This window comes from Homo sapiens, chromosome 5 (assembly GCF_000001405.40).
Source record: "Homo sapiens chromosome 5, GRCh38.p14 Primary Assembly".
NCBI lineage: Eukaryota > Metazoa > Chordata > Mammalia > Primates > Hominidae > Homo > Homo sapiens.
In genome coordinates, this window is record NC_000005.10 from 43,271,307 (window position 1) to 43,287,142 (window position 15,836).

Genomic DNA, 15,836 nt, shown 5'->3' on the forward strand with positions numbered 1-15,836 from the left:
TTCAAAGTCAGTCATCTCTGAGGGTGCATATACCCCCAGAGAATGCCCAAGATGATTCACTGGGATGAGGAAAAAAAATACTAGAACTTCCTTTTATATTTATTTGTGATTATATATTTTTAATTTCTGTGATTATATATATTGAAAATGTGTAAATCAGTAGTACATGGATACACTTTATAAATACGTATACATATATTAGAGTAGTGCTCAAAAATGTTTTATTATGCACATGCAGTTGTAAGAATATGTACAGAGACCACATGTACCATTTACCCAGTTTCACACAAACTTGCATCTTGCAAAACTATAGTCATAACCTTGATATTAATATTGATCTAATTCACTGATCTTATTAAGATTTTCCCAGTTCTTGTATTCATGCATGTGTATGTATTTTAACTCTATGGAATGTTATCACATAAATAGGTTGTTATATTCCCCACCACAGTAAAGATACAGGACAAGTCCATTATCACAAGGGCCCTTCAAGTGGCTCTTCTGTAGCCACCTCCTAACCCCCTATACCCTGTCCCTGACTCCTGCCAGCCACTAATCCGTTCTCCATTTCTATAATTTTGTCATTCCAAGAAAATTATATACAAGAAATCATACAGTAGTAACCTTTTAGGATTGGCATTTTTCACTCACCATACTTCTCGGGCAATTCATCTAAACTGTTGTATCAATAGTTGGTTCATTTTTATTGCTGAGTGGTATTCCACGTATGAAGGTACCACAATTTGTTTAACCATTCACCAGCTGAGGACATGTAGATTCTTTGCAGTTAGGAGCTATTATCAATAAAGCAACTAATGATGTTGAATATTAAAAAAATGCTTTATTGACAAAGGAAGCCAATCAAAAAAGCTTGTAGACCATAACCCTAATGTTTCAGGTCTTTCCTACCTCAAGATCTTCTGTCCTACCCATCCCTACTTTTAGAACCTCTCCCTACTTTTCTCTAGCTAACTCTTGGACTCCAGAGAAAGTGTTAAAAGTCTTCCCTAACCCCCAGACCAGGAGTACATCCCCCTGTTTTATGCTCCTAATGCTCCTGGCACTTTTCCCCCTAAGCCCACTGTACCTGATATTTTCTATCTGCCCCTCCAGATCTACTCTCCACCCTTCTTCATTCTGCTCTCAGCCCAGGACTACATCAAATCTCCTTAGTCCTCTGGGTTCCAGTTGACTTTGATCTCTAGGGAGCCCTTGCAGGGGAAGGAAGGAGAAGGAGGGCCTGATTTTATTCCCCCAGCCCCTCACGGTAAGGCTGACTCAGGCAACTTTTGTGTCTAGAAGGAAAGCCTCAGCTTCTCTCTACACAAAACTATCTTCCTAGGTTTTAATATCTGCTCCCTTCCCTTTGTCCCCTTGGTCCTGTAGACGTATTTTGCTTGGTCTAATCTAGGTTTTAAAATTTGAATTAGTTGTTGATACTTAATAATTGGAAGATTTTGCATAAAGTTTCAGATGTCTGGCTTCTCTTGAAAAAAAATCAGAAGGTTTGACAACACTGAGCCTCCATTCCAAATAGTAACCATTGTGTGGCCTTGAGTAGAGCCACCCCTTCCACTGGGGCAGCTACTCTTAAGGATTCACCATCCCCACTAACTCCCTGTTCCATACAATAACCTTGCTTTGCTATTACCACCCTGGCACTAGGAGTCCTGGTTTAAAGAATGTGTTGCCCGCTAGGTGGGACCTGTGTCAGACTTCTCATCAGATTTGGAGAAAGGGCATGCTGGCCTCTCCCATCTGTCTACTTCTCTCTGTCTCCCCTTGCACCACATAGAGCACCCTTTCTCTGGGGTTTCTATCATCCCCTCCTAGACTCCCACTTGCTCCCAGGCTTGCTGCTCCTCTCTGCACTTCTCACATCTTGCCAGAGTGCTTTTTTTTTTTTCTTTTTTTTGAGGTGGAGTCTCACTCTGTCACCTAGGCTGGAGTGCAGTGGTGTGATCTTGGCTCACTGCAACCTCTGCCCCCTGGGTTCAAGCAATTCTCCTGTCTCAGCCTCCCAAGTAGCCAGAATTACAGGCGGCTGCCACCATGCCTGGCTAATTTTTTGTATTTATAGTAGAGACGGGGTTTCACTTTCACCATCTTGACCAGGCTGGTCTTGAACTCTTGACCTTGTGATCCACCCGCCTCGGCCTCCCAAAGTGCTGGGATTACAGGTGTGAGGCATCACACCCGGCCCAGAGTGCTCTTTTTAAATGGGACTCAGATTACAACCCTTTTTCTTAAAACCTTGCTATGTTTTCTCATTGCCCTATAGTTAAAGCCTGCATTTCTAAAGCAGTCTCCTGGCTTATCTGACCTTTTCCTACTACCAGGCTGATCTGGGGCCACCCCTCCTCATTCTGCTTTTCCAGAACAGTGGGTTCCTCAAGCACACACCTTATGTCTTGCCTGGGCAGCACACTTGCCAAGCTCCTAGGCCAAGTATGAGGCCTCTCTCCTCACTTCCTGGTCACAATTTAAGTGCCCTTACCCAGATAGTGCCTTTCCATTCTCTGTCTGTATCTCTTCTTAATAGGTGCTATGCTTGTAAGAAGGGATTTTTTTTTTAGTCTTTCTCTCATTGGACTGTGAGAATAGTGTTTATCTTTTTCACTGCCTGGTGTATAGTAGGTGCTCATTGAACATTTATTGAAAGAGCAGATTTAGAGATCTAGCTCTTCATGGAATAGCAGTTTCTACCACCTAGCGACAATGTGGAATACCAGGGCTTCTAAAGTGTTTAGTATGATCATACATTTATATTATGAGGCCTGCCTGTGGGGTGATTGCACATGAGGTGAGGCCATTGAGGCACCTAGGGCAGAGGATTTAAGGAAGCTTTCACCCTTACAATGCCTCTCCTGCCACACTCTAGACCTGGCTCTGGGAGGGAAGCCTTTGCTAAGAACCATGAAAGGAAAGGAGAAAAAGAAAACTAGGGTGGTGCTAAAGGGACATTTGTGATGGCAGCCTGACACCTACCACCTGATTCTTGAACACTCACTGTGGATAGAATGGTGTATGATGGCCACAGGGAGGATGGGGCAGCAGAGTGATGATACCTTAACTGACACCTGAGTCAGTAATGGGAGAACTGAGGAGAAGCAGTGGGTTCTTCTACAGGAAATCGAAGGGTGGAATTCATTAATCTAGCCCTTAAAACAACAGCTTACCCAACATGCTACACAAAACCAGGTTTCTGTTTCAGATAAATAGGTGAAGGGACTCTTAATCCTAAAGACTGAAAAGTAGAAAAGAAAGGGGAAGAAGAGTGCCTCAAGGATTGCCATTGGAGGTTCTTTTGCTGGGGCTGATTGCCAGCTGAGATTATTCAAGCCCCAGAGCAAACATTCTGCTCCTGCTCCCTTAGAGCTGCCCTCCCACCGCTCAGTATTGCCTCCTGCGAGGGGCGGGCTGGCTGCCGCAGACACCAGTGAACCCTTTTTCCATTCCAGAAGTCCCAGTGGACCTACTTTAATATACCAATAACACTCCTATTTTAAACTAGCTGTATCCATTTTCGTTTTAATAGTCCCAGTGCTAAAGTTTTTCAAAGCAGTTATTTTGTAAGTAGGTCAAACAGGTACTTTGGGATCCTGTTCTGTCTGTTTGCTTGCCAGGTAACCTCTTTGTTATCTAATTCAAAGTCTGGTACAGTTTGAACCAAAACAAAAAAGGAATGATGTTTCACTTTGGAGTCAAGATTCATTCATTTTCTAACATTAATCATTTTCGTTATACAGTAAGTCTATATTCATGATAAAAAATAGAAAATATGAATAAGCAAAACTAAATTGAAAGGAAAACCATCTGTGATCTGCCAATTAGAAAATCTCTATTCTAAACATTTTGGTAAATATGCTACCAGATTTTTATCTATGCAAATGTGTATCTGTATTTTTCCTCACTTGTATAGTGGACATCTTTTCATATTAATAAATAAGTTAGCATCATTACTTTTGATAGCTTCATGGTGTGAAATTATAAAATTAGACCTACCACACTCTATTTTAACTATCTCTCTTGCTGGGTACTTAAGCTATTCCCAATATCACAGAAGCCTTTTTACACATGCATCCTTGTACATGCATCAGATTCTTTAAGATTGCCAAAGGTGAAATGGTTGGGTCCCAGGGTGCAACTATTTTTTAGCATTTCAATACATAATACCAAAGTGCAATCCAGAACCATTGTACCAATTAATGCTCCCGCCAGCAGCACATTGCAGTGTTGATTTCCTCCTGGCCTCACCAGCACGCTGTCAACACTGGGTACTGGTGTGTCGTGTACATGACATTACATGCCAGGCACTGAGAGTGAAATAAAACAGTTCATGTTGGGAATGGGGCAAGAGAGGGAGATAAACAAGGGAGGTGACATCTACAGACCGGTTAGCTGAGATTACAGTACATTGGGGCTCCAAGTGCACAGAATCTGAACATCATGTTCATCCTAGGACAAGTGTTGCAGAGGCTTCCTGAAGAGGTTCATTCTGAGGCTTACCTTGAAGGATCATCAGGAATTAATGATGAGTGTATTAAGCCATTCTCGCATTTCTATAAAGAAACGCCTGAAATTGAGTAATTTTTTTTTTTTTTTTTTTTCTGAGACGGAGTCTTGCTTTCTTACCTAGGCTGGAGAGCAGTGGTGCGATCTCGGCTCACTGCAACCTCTGCCTCCCTGGGTTCAAGTGATTCTCCTGCCTCAGCCACCCGAGTAGCACAGGTGCCTGCCACCGGGTCCATCTAATTTTTGTATTTTTAGTAGAGATAGGGTTTCACCATGTTGGCCAGGCTGGTCTCAAACTCCCAACCTCGTGATCCTCCCGCCTTGGCCTCCCGAAGTGCTGGGATTACAGGCGTGAGCTGCCGCGCCCAGCCAAAATTGAGTAATTTATAAGAAAAAAAGGTTTTATTAGCTCATGATTCTGCAGGCTGTACAGGAAGCGTGGTGGCATCTGCTTCTGTAGAGGCCTCAGGAAGCTCCAATCATGGTGGAAGGTGGAAGGCACATCACACTGTGAAAGCAGGAGCAAGAGTTGGGGGAACATGCCACAAGATCCCATCACTTTTAAAGAACCAGATCTCATGTGAACTCAGAGCGAGAGCTCACTTATCACTAAGGAGATGGCCCAAGCCATTCATGAGACATCAGCCTCCATGACCCAAACACGTCCCACCAGACTCCACCTCCAACATTGGGGATTACATTTCAATGAGATTTGGGTGGGGACAAATGTCCAAACTATATTGATGAGTGAAAGCAAGAGTAAAGAACAGGGAAGGAATGATGGAGAGAATGAACCAGGTAGAGAAAATCTTCTAGGCATGAATGTTCAGCCCCTTTTCAGGGAGCAACAAAAAGTTCTGTATTGGTTGCAATGAAGGGTGCATGGGGCATTGGGGATGGTGGACAGGAATGATGGACAGTGAGGCTGATGAGATGAGCTGGGTCTCATCAAGAAGTTCTCTCCGGGCTTAGCAAAGGAGCTCTAGCTTTATCTGGAAACTTTCCTTGGGAGGCAGGACTTGGCATCAAAACCTGTGTGTGGAAGACTCACACCGATCCAAGGGAAGGGCACTGATGCTGGGCTTAAGCATTGCTTTGTCATTCCCTGATGAGCTCTCTCAGCTTGGGAACAGCCACTCTCTGTCTAGTAAAGGAAAGGAGCTGATCCAGGTCCTCTCCAGTTCTAACTATGCTCCTGTGAATTCTGGCACAATTTTTACTTTTTTTCCTTGCAGAAAAGGTGGCCATTAAGATCCTGGACAAGACCAAGTTAGACCAGAAAACCCAGAGGCTACTATCCCGAGAAATCTCCAGCATGGAAAAGCTGCACCATCCCAACATCATCCGCCTTTACGAAGTGGTGGAGACCCTATCCAAGCTGCACTTGGTGATGGAGTATGCAGGGGGTGGGGAGCTCTTCGGAAAAATTAGCACTGAGGGGAAGCTCTCTGAACCAGAAAGCAAGCTCATCTTCTCCCAGATTGTGTCTGCCGTGAAGCACATGGTGAGCAGGGGTGACGAGTGAGAACCTTGCTCCCATTGCACTGACACTGGGAGCACAGGGCTTTAGGTTACTAACCCTCAAGTGTCCCAGAGGGCTTTTGTCCTACAAAGCAGACAGTAGTCCCTTCTGAGAGTCAGAAGTCTGGCTGGGATCATGCTCCTTGCCTGTGAAGCAACATCCAGGGATGTCCAGTTACACGTCAACCTCCTAGCTTCTGCAGACATTGGCAGGAATCACTGGGAGCAGCTGATGAATATCACCCACTCCCTGGCCATACCCATTTCTCCAACCTCATCTTCCACTATCTGGATAGCTGGCTCCTCACTGCTTCTTGGTTTTGCTTTCCTACTTCTGTCTAGGATGCCCTCATATGACATCTCACATTCTAAATCCTATCCATACTTCATGCCCAGCTTGGTTCTCTCTCTCTCTCTCTCCCCCACCCCCCCTCTCCGTGTGTGTGTGTGTGTGTGTGTGTGTGTGTGTGTGTGAGAGAGAGAGAGAGAGAGAGAGAGAGATGTTCTTCAATCTCACATCAGTTATACTGATATTTTGCCTTCAGTAAGATCCCCTAGCTCTTATTGCCTCTGTGCCCAGTAGATTAACACTTGGTTGTGTCTTTCTTTTTTCCCTTCCTTCCTGCCTGCCTTCCACCCTTCCTTCCTTCCTTTTCTTCCTCCCTTCCTTTCTTTTCCTTCCTTCCTTCCTTCCTTTCTTTCTGTTTCTTTTTTTTTTTTTTAGACAGAGTCTTCCTCTGTCACCCAGGATGGAGTGCAGTGGCATGATCTTGGCTCACTGCAACCTCCGCCTCCCGGGTTCAAGCGATTCTCCTGCCTCAGCCTCCCAAGTAGCTGGGATTACAGGCATGTGCCACCATGCCTAGCTGATTTTGTGTTTTTAATAGAGATGAGGTTTCACCATGTTTGTCAGGCTTGTCTTGAACTCCTGACCTCAAGCGATCCACCTGCCTCGGTCTCCCAAAGTAGTGGGATTACAGGCGTGAGCCACCGTGCCTGGCCGCTTGTGTCATTCTTATTTTAGTTCTTTGGTTACTTCTTTAGATAAATCTGGACTCCTAATGCACACTCTGTAGTTCTCCCAAGAACTGGCTGTTTTGCTGCCTCCTTAATTTTGGCCGTATTGCGGGCCATACAGGAGGAACCTGACTTGCAGGCCTGAGTATCACTTTTACTACCAAAAGTTTTAGTCAGTCACCATCTTTACTCAGATCCCAGTTGAACGGATCTGTCAGAAAAGAGACACTTGGCTAGGGTCTATATTAGTTGAGAGGCTATTTCCAATTCACTTCTCAGCCTGCATGGTTGTAGGAGCAAGAACTGGGATCAGTGAGCCACAGTGAACCTCATTACATGCCAGGCACTGAAAAAGTCAGATAAAACAGTCCATGCTAGCAATGGGGCAAAAGAGGGAGAATTTGCAAGGGAATCTGTGGCCTAGAGGGCCCAAAATAGCAGTAGGGAAGGAGAGGAGGAAGAAAAAGAAGTGAGCCAGGGAGAAGAGCTTGACTGTAGTGGTGGTGGATGTTTCAGACCTGTGATATATGACCAATCATCATTTAAGTGGCTTTGGGCTGTGGTGAGCTTTCCCAGGGCCAGAGAATAAGCCAGACCCATACCAAGTAATAGAACAGATGGGCAAAGAGTCTTCCACATTCTACTTGGAAAAGTAACTTGGTGGGAGAACAGAAGAGAATCCAGCAATAGAAGGTACAGATGTTAGTCTTCAGCAGCTCTACTCCCTGCCATTTCTCCAACGCTCTGCAAACAGGAAGTGTGTTTCATAGCCATAGATCCACATCTTATTGAGTTTGTTTATATGCCAAGACCATGCTGAGCACTGTTCTCATCATACGTAGTTAGCGTCATATATAGTTCTCACCACAGCCTATGGTTATCAGTATCCCACTTTACAGAGAAGGAAACTGACATTCACAGTACCCAGCTGGTATAGTTGAACCTAGAATTGACCAGACTGTCCCCTCCAAAGCCTGGATTCTTATTCCAGGAGGGCCATCAGGAAAGCTGACAAACACAAAGCCATTTTCCAAGAGCCCTTGGGACTGAACAGGTCAAGGGTCCTCTGAAGATTGTCTGGATTCAGGATGCAAGGGTGGGAGTGGAGCATGTGCCCACAATCCACAGTGTGTTCTGTGGCTAGATCCTTGCCAAATGCAACCACCTCCCTTCGGCTGAATTCTGTAAGGATAAAAGAGTCCACCCCAAAAAGCATGGCCGGAAAGTCAGGGGAGGGCTCCAAGCCTTCCTGGTCAAACGATCCATCAGCCAGAAAAACCCATGTATGACCTCAACAACTAAGGATTACTGTTTCATTGTATTTCAGAATGTGTAGTTTCATAAGATCTGGGTCTGATTTCTGGTGTTAGTTTCTGAGTCCACATGTGTGGAACAGACTCCAACCCTTACCACATAGAATAGGAACTTTGGTCTATTTGGGGAGGTGTAGGCATTACATTGGGCTAAAGGTTATGACAGGGTTTGCTATCATGACTTAAGGTGATCCTCACTGAATTTGTTATTCCACCATCATTATCTCACTGTTTCAGAGCAACTGATACATTTTTTATTTTGACATTTTACTGTAAAAATGACTTTTCTCTATGTCTTCTTCCACAGCATGAAAACCAAATTATTCATAGAGATCTGAAAGCAGAAAATGTATTCTATACCAGTAATACTTGTGTGAAGGTGGGCGATTTTGGATTCAGCACAGTAAGCAAAAAAGGTGAAATGCTGAACACTTTCTGTGGGTCTCCTCCCTACGCTGCGCCTGAACTCTTCCGGGACGAGCACTACATCGGCATTTACGTGGATATCTGGGCCTTGGGGGTGCTTTTGTACTTCATGGTGACTGGCACCATGCCATTTCGGGCAGAAACCGTGGCCAAACTAAAAAAGAGCATCCTCGAGGGCACATACAGTGTACCGCCGCACGTGTCAGAGCCCTGCCACCGACTCATCCGAGGAGTCCTTCAGCAGATCCCCACGGAGAGGTACGGAATCGACTGCATCATGAATGATGAATGGATGCAAGGGGTGCCATACCCTACACCTTTGGAACCTTTCCAACTGGATCCCAAACATTTGTCGGAAACCAGCACTCTCAAGGAAGAAGAAAATGAGGTCAAAAGCACTTTAGAACATTTGGGCATTACAGAAGAGCATATTCGAAATAACCAAGGGAGAGATGCTCGCAGCTCAATCACAGGGGTCTATAGAATTATTTTACATAGAGTCCAAAGGAAGAAGGCTTTGGAAAGTGTCCCAGTCATGATGCTACCAGACCCTAAAGAAAGAGACCTCAAAAAAGGGTCCCGTGTCTACAGAGGGATAAGACACACATCCAAATTTTGCTCGATTTTATAAATTGCACTAGACTGCTTGTAACTAACCAAGATGATTGTTGCTGCTTCTAAATTTTTTTCAAGGACAACTTGAGTGGAGACATTTTTGTAATTTTTAAATAAACTTAAATTTGAGATATGCATTTTTTTTCTCCAAAAAGTCTATTAGCTCAGATTCTGGCTTGATTTGGGATCTTGTTTTATTATCAAATTTCAGCATTCATTCATTTAATCAAGAAATATTTATCCAGTGCCTCCTGTGTGTCAGGCACTATTTAAGGTGCTAGGGAAACAGCAAGAAATAAATAGGCAAGGTCCCTCCTCTCATGTGCAGGACGTTCTAGCCCAGGACAAAGGTACTAACAACTACATTTTTTAAAAAAGAGAAAGATCAGTGATAGATGCTATGCAGAGGATTCAAAAAGGGTGATCTGATATCAGAGGCTTGCTACTTTGGATTAGTCATTAAGGAAGGCCACTTTGAGTACATATAAGTTTAAGATCTGAATGAGAAGCAGGAGTGACTTTTACAAAATGCCAGAGCATTCCAGGCAGCTAGGGGTTTCAGACTCAGTTCCCCCCAAAACAGAGCCTAAGACAAAGGCTTCCATATAAAGTAGTTTATTTGGGAACTGATCCCAGAGCACAGGAGTGAAGGACAGAGGAAACAGGGAAAGCTAATACACAGACACATTAGCAAGTTAGCTAGTGCTACAGTTTCTGGTGCTTGGTTTTGCAGGATCCTCAGAGGAGCCTGATGAAACACATCTCAGGTGTCTGCCCTGGGTATGAAAGGGGAAAGCATTTAACCATAAGCTCTTGCTCACCGCTGATCAAGGGTGGCCCTTTGTGTCATCTGCCCTGCACTCCCAGATTGGGCTGTGTGAATGCCAAGTGGGTTCCCTAAGCTTCCCTTGCCTTCATGTCAGAGAAGTCTTGGAGCAGGAGGGAAGAGGTACACCACCAGTACGATACCTCCTTTCTTTGCCTGCTTGTCCACTGGCATGGGGAGCCCAAAGTGACCATGTGACACTTGTAGATTCCAATTCACTGGAGCCCTTATCAAGTCCCCTGATGAAAGCATCCCTGATCCCCTGGGAACCAAACCTTTTAATCTAGCCTAGATTGTAGAAAAAAAAAGAATAGAAATTAATCAAGTGAGTCACCAATTGCGTGATGGTGACAGGAGTCAATCTACTTCCACCTAGTGGTTTCCAGACCTGTGTTTTAATGATAGGGACATGTATCAGTCATTATTAAAGCATGTTACTGAATCCTGGAGGACAGCACCCCAACCCTGCAGGCTGCTGTCTCATCTCTGGTGTCTTAGCTGAGTCATTCCATTGTTCTACTCATGTTGGCTGCTTCTGATGTTGAGGTATATGGTAAGATGAGGGGATCCCGTTGTCATGTGCCCATTGCACCACCTCCTTTATCAAAAAAGTGGTCCTTGAGGCAATGTTTGAGATATCATGACAGTGAGTCAGTTATTCTCTATGTCTTAGTGTGCTTGTATGGAAAGACACATTGCAGGCAGAAAAGGCAAACCCATACCCTGAGATATCAATTCCAATAAGGATGAATCACTCCTGGGCCCATCTGAATTCATGACTCCATGGATCTGATAATGCCCAGCTCATACGTTAACAGCTCTGTTTGCCTAGTCCTCAGTATCTCATAATCAGGTTCTCAGCCTCCACTGGGGCCCAGTAGCACATCGGGAGTCTGAGTAGTTCTGTCGCAGGAAGCATGGCGTTACTACAGGATCCCACAGAGCTGTGCTGTTATCTCTTATTGGGGCTTTCCAGAGGCCCCACACTACACAGCCTGAGTAGCAGTTTGCTCAGAAGCCAAAATTGCTGCAATCTTTCTTTTATGGGATCCACTTGAAACTGGCAGCCGTGTTAAATGGGTGGGAGGAATACACCAGATACAATATATGTGCTTCCAAAGTCCAGAGGGACCTACTAAATCCTATGCCTCTATCTTAGTGTTAAGAGGTGGGAGGTGCAAGAAATTGTTCTTTACTATAGAAGAAATATCTAGGCATGCCTCAACTCATTGGTCTTCTAAACTCTTCATCAATGTGGCATGCCCCAGATTCTTCATAGAGTCTATAATCCACACCCTGGCACATGTAAGCCTTACTAGGGCATTGGTAATACTTGCCACTTCCTGATAGCCAATCCCCCTAGCATGCTCTCACAATATAGTGGGCCAGCATGATGTCCTGTAGAATGTCAAGATGATCAAGGTCCTTTTGGATTATATTGTGATATAGAGAAGGAGATTTAAGATTGTTTTGGGGCAATAGAGTAAATGAGAATCGCTCTCCATCCCAGAGAAATGTGAACTGCTTTTGATCCTCCTTTCTGATGGAAATTTAGAAGAATGAATTTGCCAAATCAATAGCTGCATATCAAATGCCAGAGGCTGCCAGTAAAGATACCACATCCAATATGGCAGCTACAACTGAGACTAGCAGTAGTCCACCATCATTCTCCATTATCCATCTGCTCTTTTTCAGAAGTGTAATGGTAACTTAAATGAGATTATGATGGAGCCCATTACACTTGCATCCCAAAATTTTTTGATGGTGACACTGATGTCTGCCATTCCTCATGTGGATTGCTCATGATTTATTAACATGGCCAGAAAGAGGTTTCCTCTTTCTCCCATAATGGTTGTTACTTCACAGGTCTAAGACCTCCACAGAGGTCTAAGTATATTGATCCCAAATATGTACTTAGAGGTTGGGAGAATAATTCCAAGGTGGGAACCATTATGTGATAGACTTTGGCCAGGACTCCCTTTATCATATGGTTTCCATAACCCCTCATCTACGTACAAAGCCATAATGGTATCCGGTTCTGAAAAATTCTGGGTATGTACATCATATATACTTGTGAAAGCAAGGCCTTTCCTCAAGACCAGTCCTCCTTTTCATTGTGCACTGGATCTGTAAATTGACTTAGCTCTGGAAGCTGATGAAGAGACCGTGATTTTCCCATTGTGACAGGCTACCTTAGCTTTATGCTCACCAGTTTTCCTTGTTTTTTCTTTATTTTGGTCATACAAGTCAAGTAACATAGTAGTCAGCTGTCTCCCAAAATTCCATGATTTATTAGCCATTGTCACAAAGCCCTGCAGATCAAGGCAGCCTGATTGATTTCCACTCCAGCCTTACTGTTTATTATATTGTGTCCACCTGGCCTCTGACATTTAAGTAATAATACATGACCTCTACCATTCTAGTCTCATCATCCCCACTGATGATATCATGCTCAATTCCATGGCAGCATTTCCTACCATCAACCCCTGCCTGCAATGGGCAGCCACCACTGAGCTTTTCTTACGTGCTGCTGCAGCCCTCACCAGTGCATTCTTTTTTTAAAAAAATTATTTTCTATTCATACAGAATTGTACATATTTATGGGGTACATGTGATATTTTGATACATGTATACAAGGTGTAATGATCAAATCAGGGTATTTAGGATACCCCATCACCTCAAACATTTATCATTTTTTGGTGTTAGGAAGACTTCAACTTTTCCAGCTATTTTGAAATATATGATAAATTATTATTAACTGTAGTCACCCTGCTCTGCTATCAAATAGTATAACTTATTCCTTCTAACTGTATGTTTGTACCCATTAACCAACCTGTCTTCATCCTCCACCCCTACCATCCTTCTCAGCTTATTAAGCACCATTCTACTTTCTACCTCCATGAGATCAACTTTTTAGCTTTATATACAAGAACATGTGATATTTGTCTTTCTGTGCCTGGCTGATTTCACTTAACCTAATGACCTCCAGTTCCATCCATGATGCTGCAAATGACATGATTTCATTTTTTTTTTTTTTTTTTTTTTTTTTTGAGACAGAGTCTCACTCTGTCGCCCAGGGTGGAGTACAGTGGTGCCATCTCAGCTCACTGCAACCTCCACCTCCCGGGTTCAAGAGATTCTCCTGCCTCAGCCTCCCGGTAGCTGGGATGACAGTCGCCTGCCACCACGCCCAGCTAATTTTTTGTATTTCTAGTAGCGATGGGGTTTCACCATGTTGGCCAGGCTGGTCTTGAACTCCTACCCTCATGTGATCTGCCCACCTTGGCCTCCCAAAGTGCTGTGATTACAGGCATGAGCCATCACGCCTGGCTGATTTTATTCTTTTTTATGGCTGAATATTCCATTGTGTTTATATACATTTTCTTTATCCATCCGTTGATGGAAACTTATGTTGGTCCCATCTCTGCTATTGAGAATAGTGCTGCAACACACATGGGAGAGCACAGGTATTGCTTTGATATACTCATTTCCTTTTCTTTGGATAAATACCCAGTAGGTGGACTGCTGAATCCCACGGTGGTTGTATTTTTAGTTTTTTCAGAAACTGCTATACTGTCTTCCATGATGGCTGTACTAATTTATATTGCCACCAACTGTGTATAAGAATTCCCTTTTCTCTAGAAAAATACAAAAAGAAAACAAAAAATTCCCTTTTCTCTGCATCCTCACCAGCATTTATTATTGTCCTTTTGATTAGTCATTCTAACTGGGGGTGGGATGCTATCTCATTGTGGTTTTGATTTGCCTTTCCCTGATAATTAGTGATGTTGAACATTTTTCCACTTACTTGGCCATCTGTATGTCTTCTTTTGAGAAATGTCTTTTCAGATCCTTTTCCCACTTTTTAATGAGATTATTATTATTATTATTATTATTATTATTTTTTGCTGTTGAGTTCCCTGTATATTCTGGATATTAGTCCCTTGTTGGATGAACAGTTTGCAAACCAGTGCATTTTACATTGCCTTAGTGAAGGCAATGTCTTCCTGAGGAACATAGTTAGACGGTTGTTCAGTCTCACATAATGAATCCATTCTAACATTCGCACCTCCTGGAACTTTCCAACTCTTTCTTCAATACCATACCAAGGCAGTTCCACCATCTTCACCTCATTTACTGTGTGCCACAATCATAGCCAAGCCTCAGCAGCCATCCCAACAGAATATTATGACCAAATTCAGGTGTTGTTCACTTCTAAGTCATGGGTAAACATTCCTATAGTAATCTTTTTTTTTTTTTTTTTTTTTTGAGACGGAGTTTCACTCTTGTTGCCCAGGCTGGAGTGCAATGGCATGATCTTGGCCCATTGCAACCTCCCGGGTTCAAGCAATTCTCCTGCCTCAGCCTCCTGAGTAGCTGGGATTACAGGCATGTGCCACACGCCCGGCTAATTTTGTATTTTCAGTTGAAACGGGGTTTCTCCATGTTGGTCAGGCTGGTCTCAAACTCCCGACCTTAGGTGATCTGCCTGCCTCAGCCTCCCAAAGTGCTGGAATTACAGGCATGAGCCCCTGTGCCCGGCTCCTATAGTAATCTTTCTTATCCCGCCTTATAGTCTTCCCTCAACTTCCACCTTTGGCTTAACACCCTCAAAATCATTCACACACATTTCCCCCTGGTTCCTGACAGTATGTATCAGGTTCTGCAGTTCCTTCAGTATCTACACTATTTTCCCCGAGACGGAGGTTGTATTTCTCCACTCAGGCTCTACTGAGAAGTCACCCTGGTTCTTGGTTTGGAGAATAATAAGGGTTCTGGAAGAGAATGTGGAGGTCAAGAGCTGCCTCACTGGAAGCCTTGGCAGGGTCTTCAGGCAAGGGAGCATGAGCTGCTTCTGCCAGCCCCACACTAGGAAAATCCAGGTTTGCAATATTTTCAGGGTCATCCACTGTATTACTAACTTAGGTCTCAGTGTCCTATTCTCTTTTTGTCAAACCTAAACTTTCATAAAGGAAAATTGTCAAGACTTAGTATTTTCCAACCTTACAACTAGATACTGGGCCTATTTCAGGTAGTTTTCTCTCCACTGCAGGAGATAAGGCTCTCCTTCAACCTTGCCTTAAACTGACAGTTGGCTGACTTGAGCCTGTTATTTTGTTTTCCAGGCTTCCAAAGCAGTTAATAAAAGCTGGCCAAGTCCACAGACTTTATCACTGCCCCTCTACTGTTCAAGTGCCATAGGTACTACAGGATCCAATGCTTCATCTTCTACCTACACCTACAGATGACAGTGTCAGTGGTGACTGTGCTGCTCCTGCATGCCACAGGCTATCACCACTCTGCTTACCAACACTGCACCAGTGTTCTCCTGATGTCATCACAAATTCACAAACTTAGTGGCTTAAAACAACACAAATGTATCATCTTACAGCTCTGGGAGATAGAAGTCTGACATGAGTCTCAGTGGACTAAAATCAAGGTGTTTCCAGGGCTGTGCTCCTTTCTGGAGGCTCCAGGGGAGAATCCATTTACTTGTTAACTTTCTAGAGGCTGCCTGCTTTCCTTAGCTCACGGTCATCTTCCTTCATCTTCAAAGCCAGCAACATTGCATTTCTTTGGCCAACCTTCTGTAGTCGCTCTCC

The 15,836-nt window shown here is 43.8% G+C and overlaps 1 protein-coding gene across 2 annotated transcripts in view; it reads left to right on the top strand.

Moving 5' to 3' along the window:
• Positions 1-9,544, top strand: part of NIM1K (NIM1 serine/threonine protein kinase) — an 88,626-nt gene extending 79,082 nt beyond the window's left edge. For both annotated transcript variants that reach the window (NR_072980.2, NM_153361.4), the window contains exons 3-4: positions 5,751-6,019; positions 8,674-9,544. Coding sequence is in view for 1 of the 2 variants with exons in the window: in NM_153361.4 (NP_699192.1) it covers positions 5,751-6,019; positions 8,674-9,423 (1,019 nt within the window). In the remaining variant the exon portion in view is untranslated. The remainder of the gene's footprint in view (positions 1-5,750; positions 6,020-8,673) is intronic.
• The last annotated feature ends 6,292 nt before the right edge of the window (positions 9,545-15,836 follow it).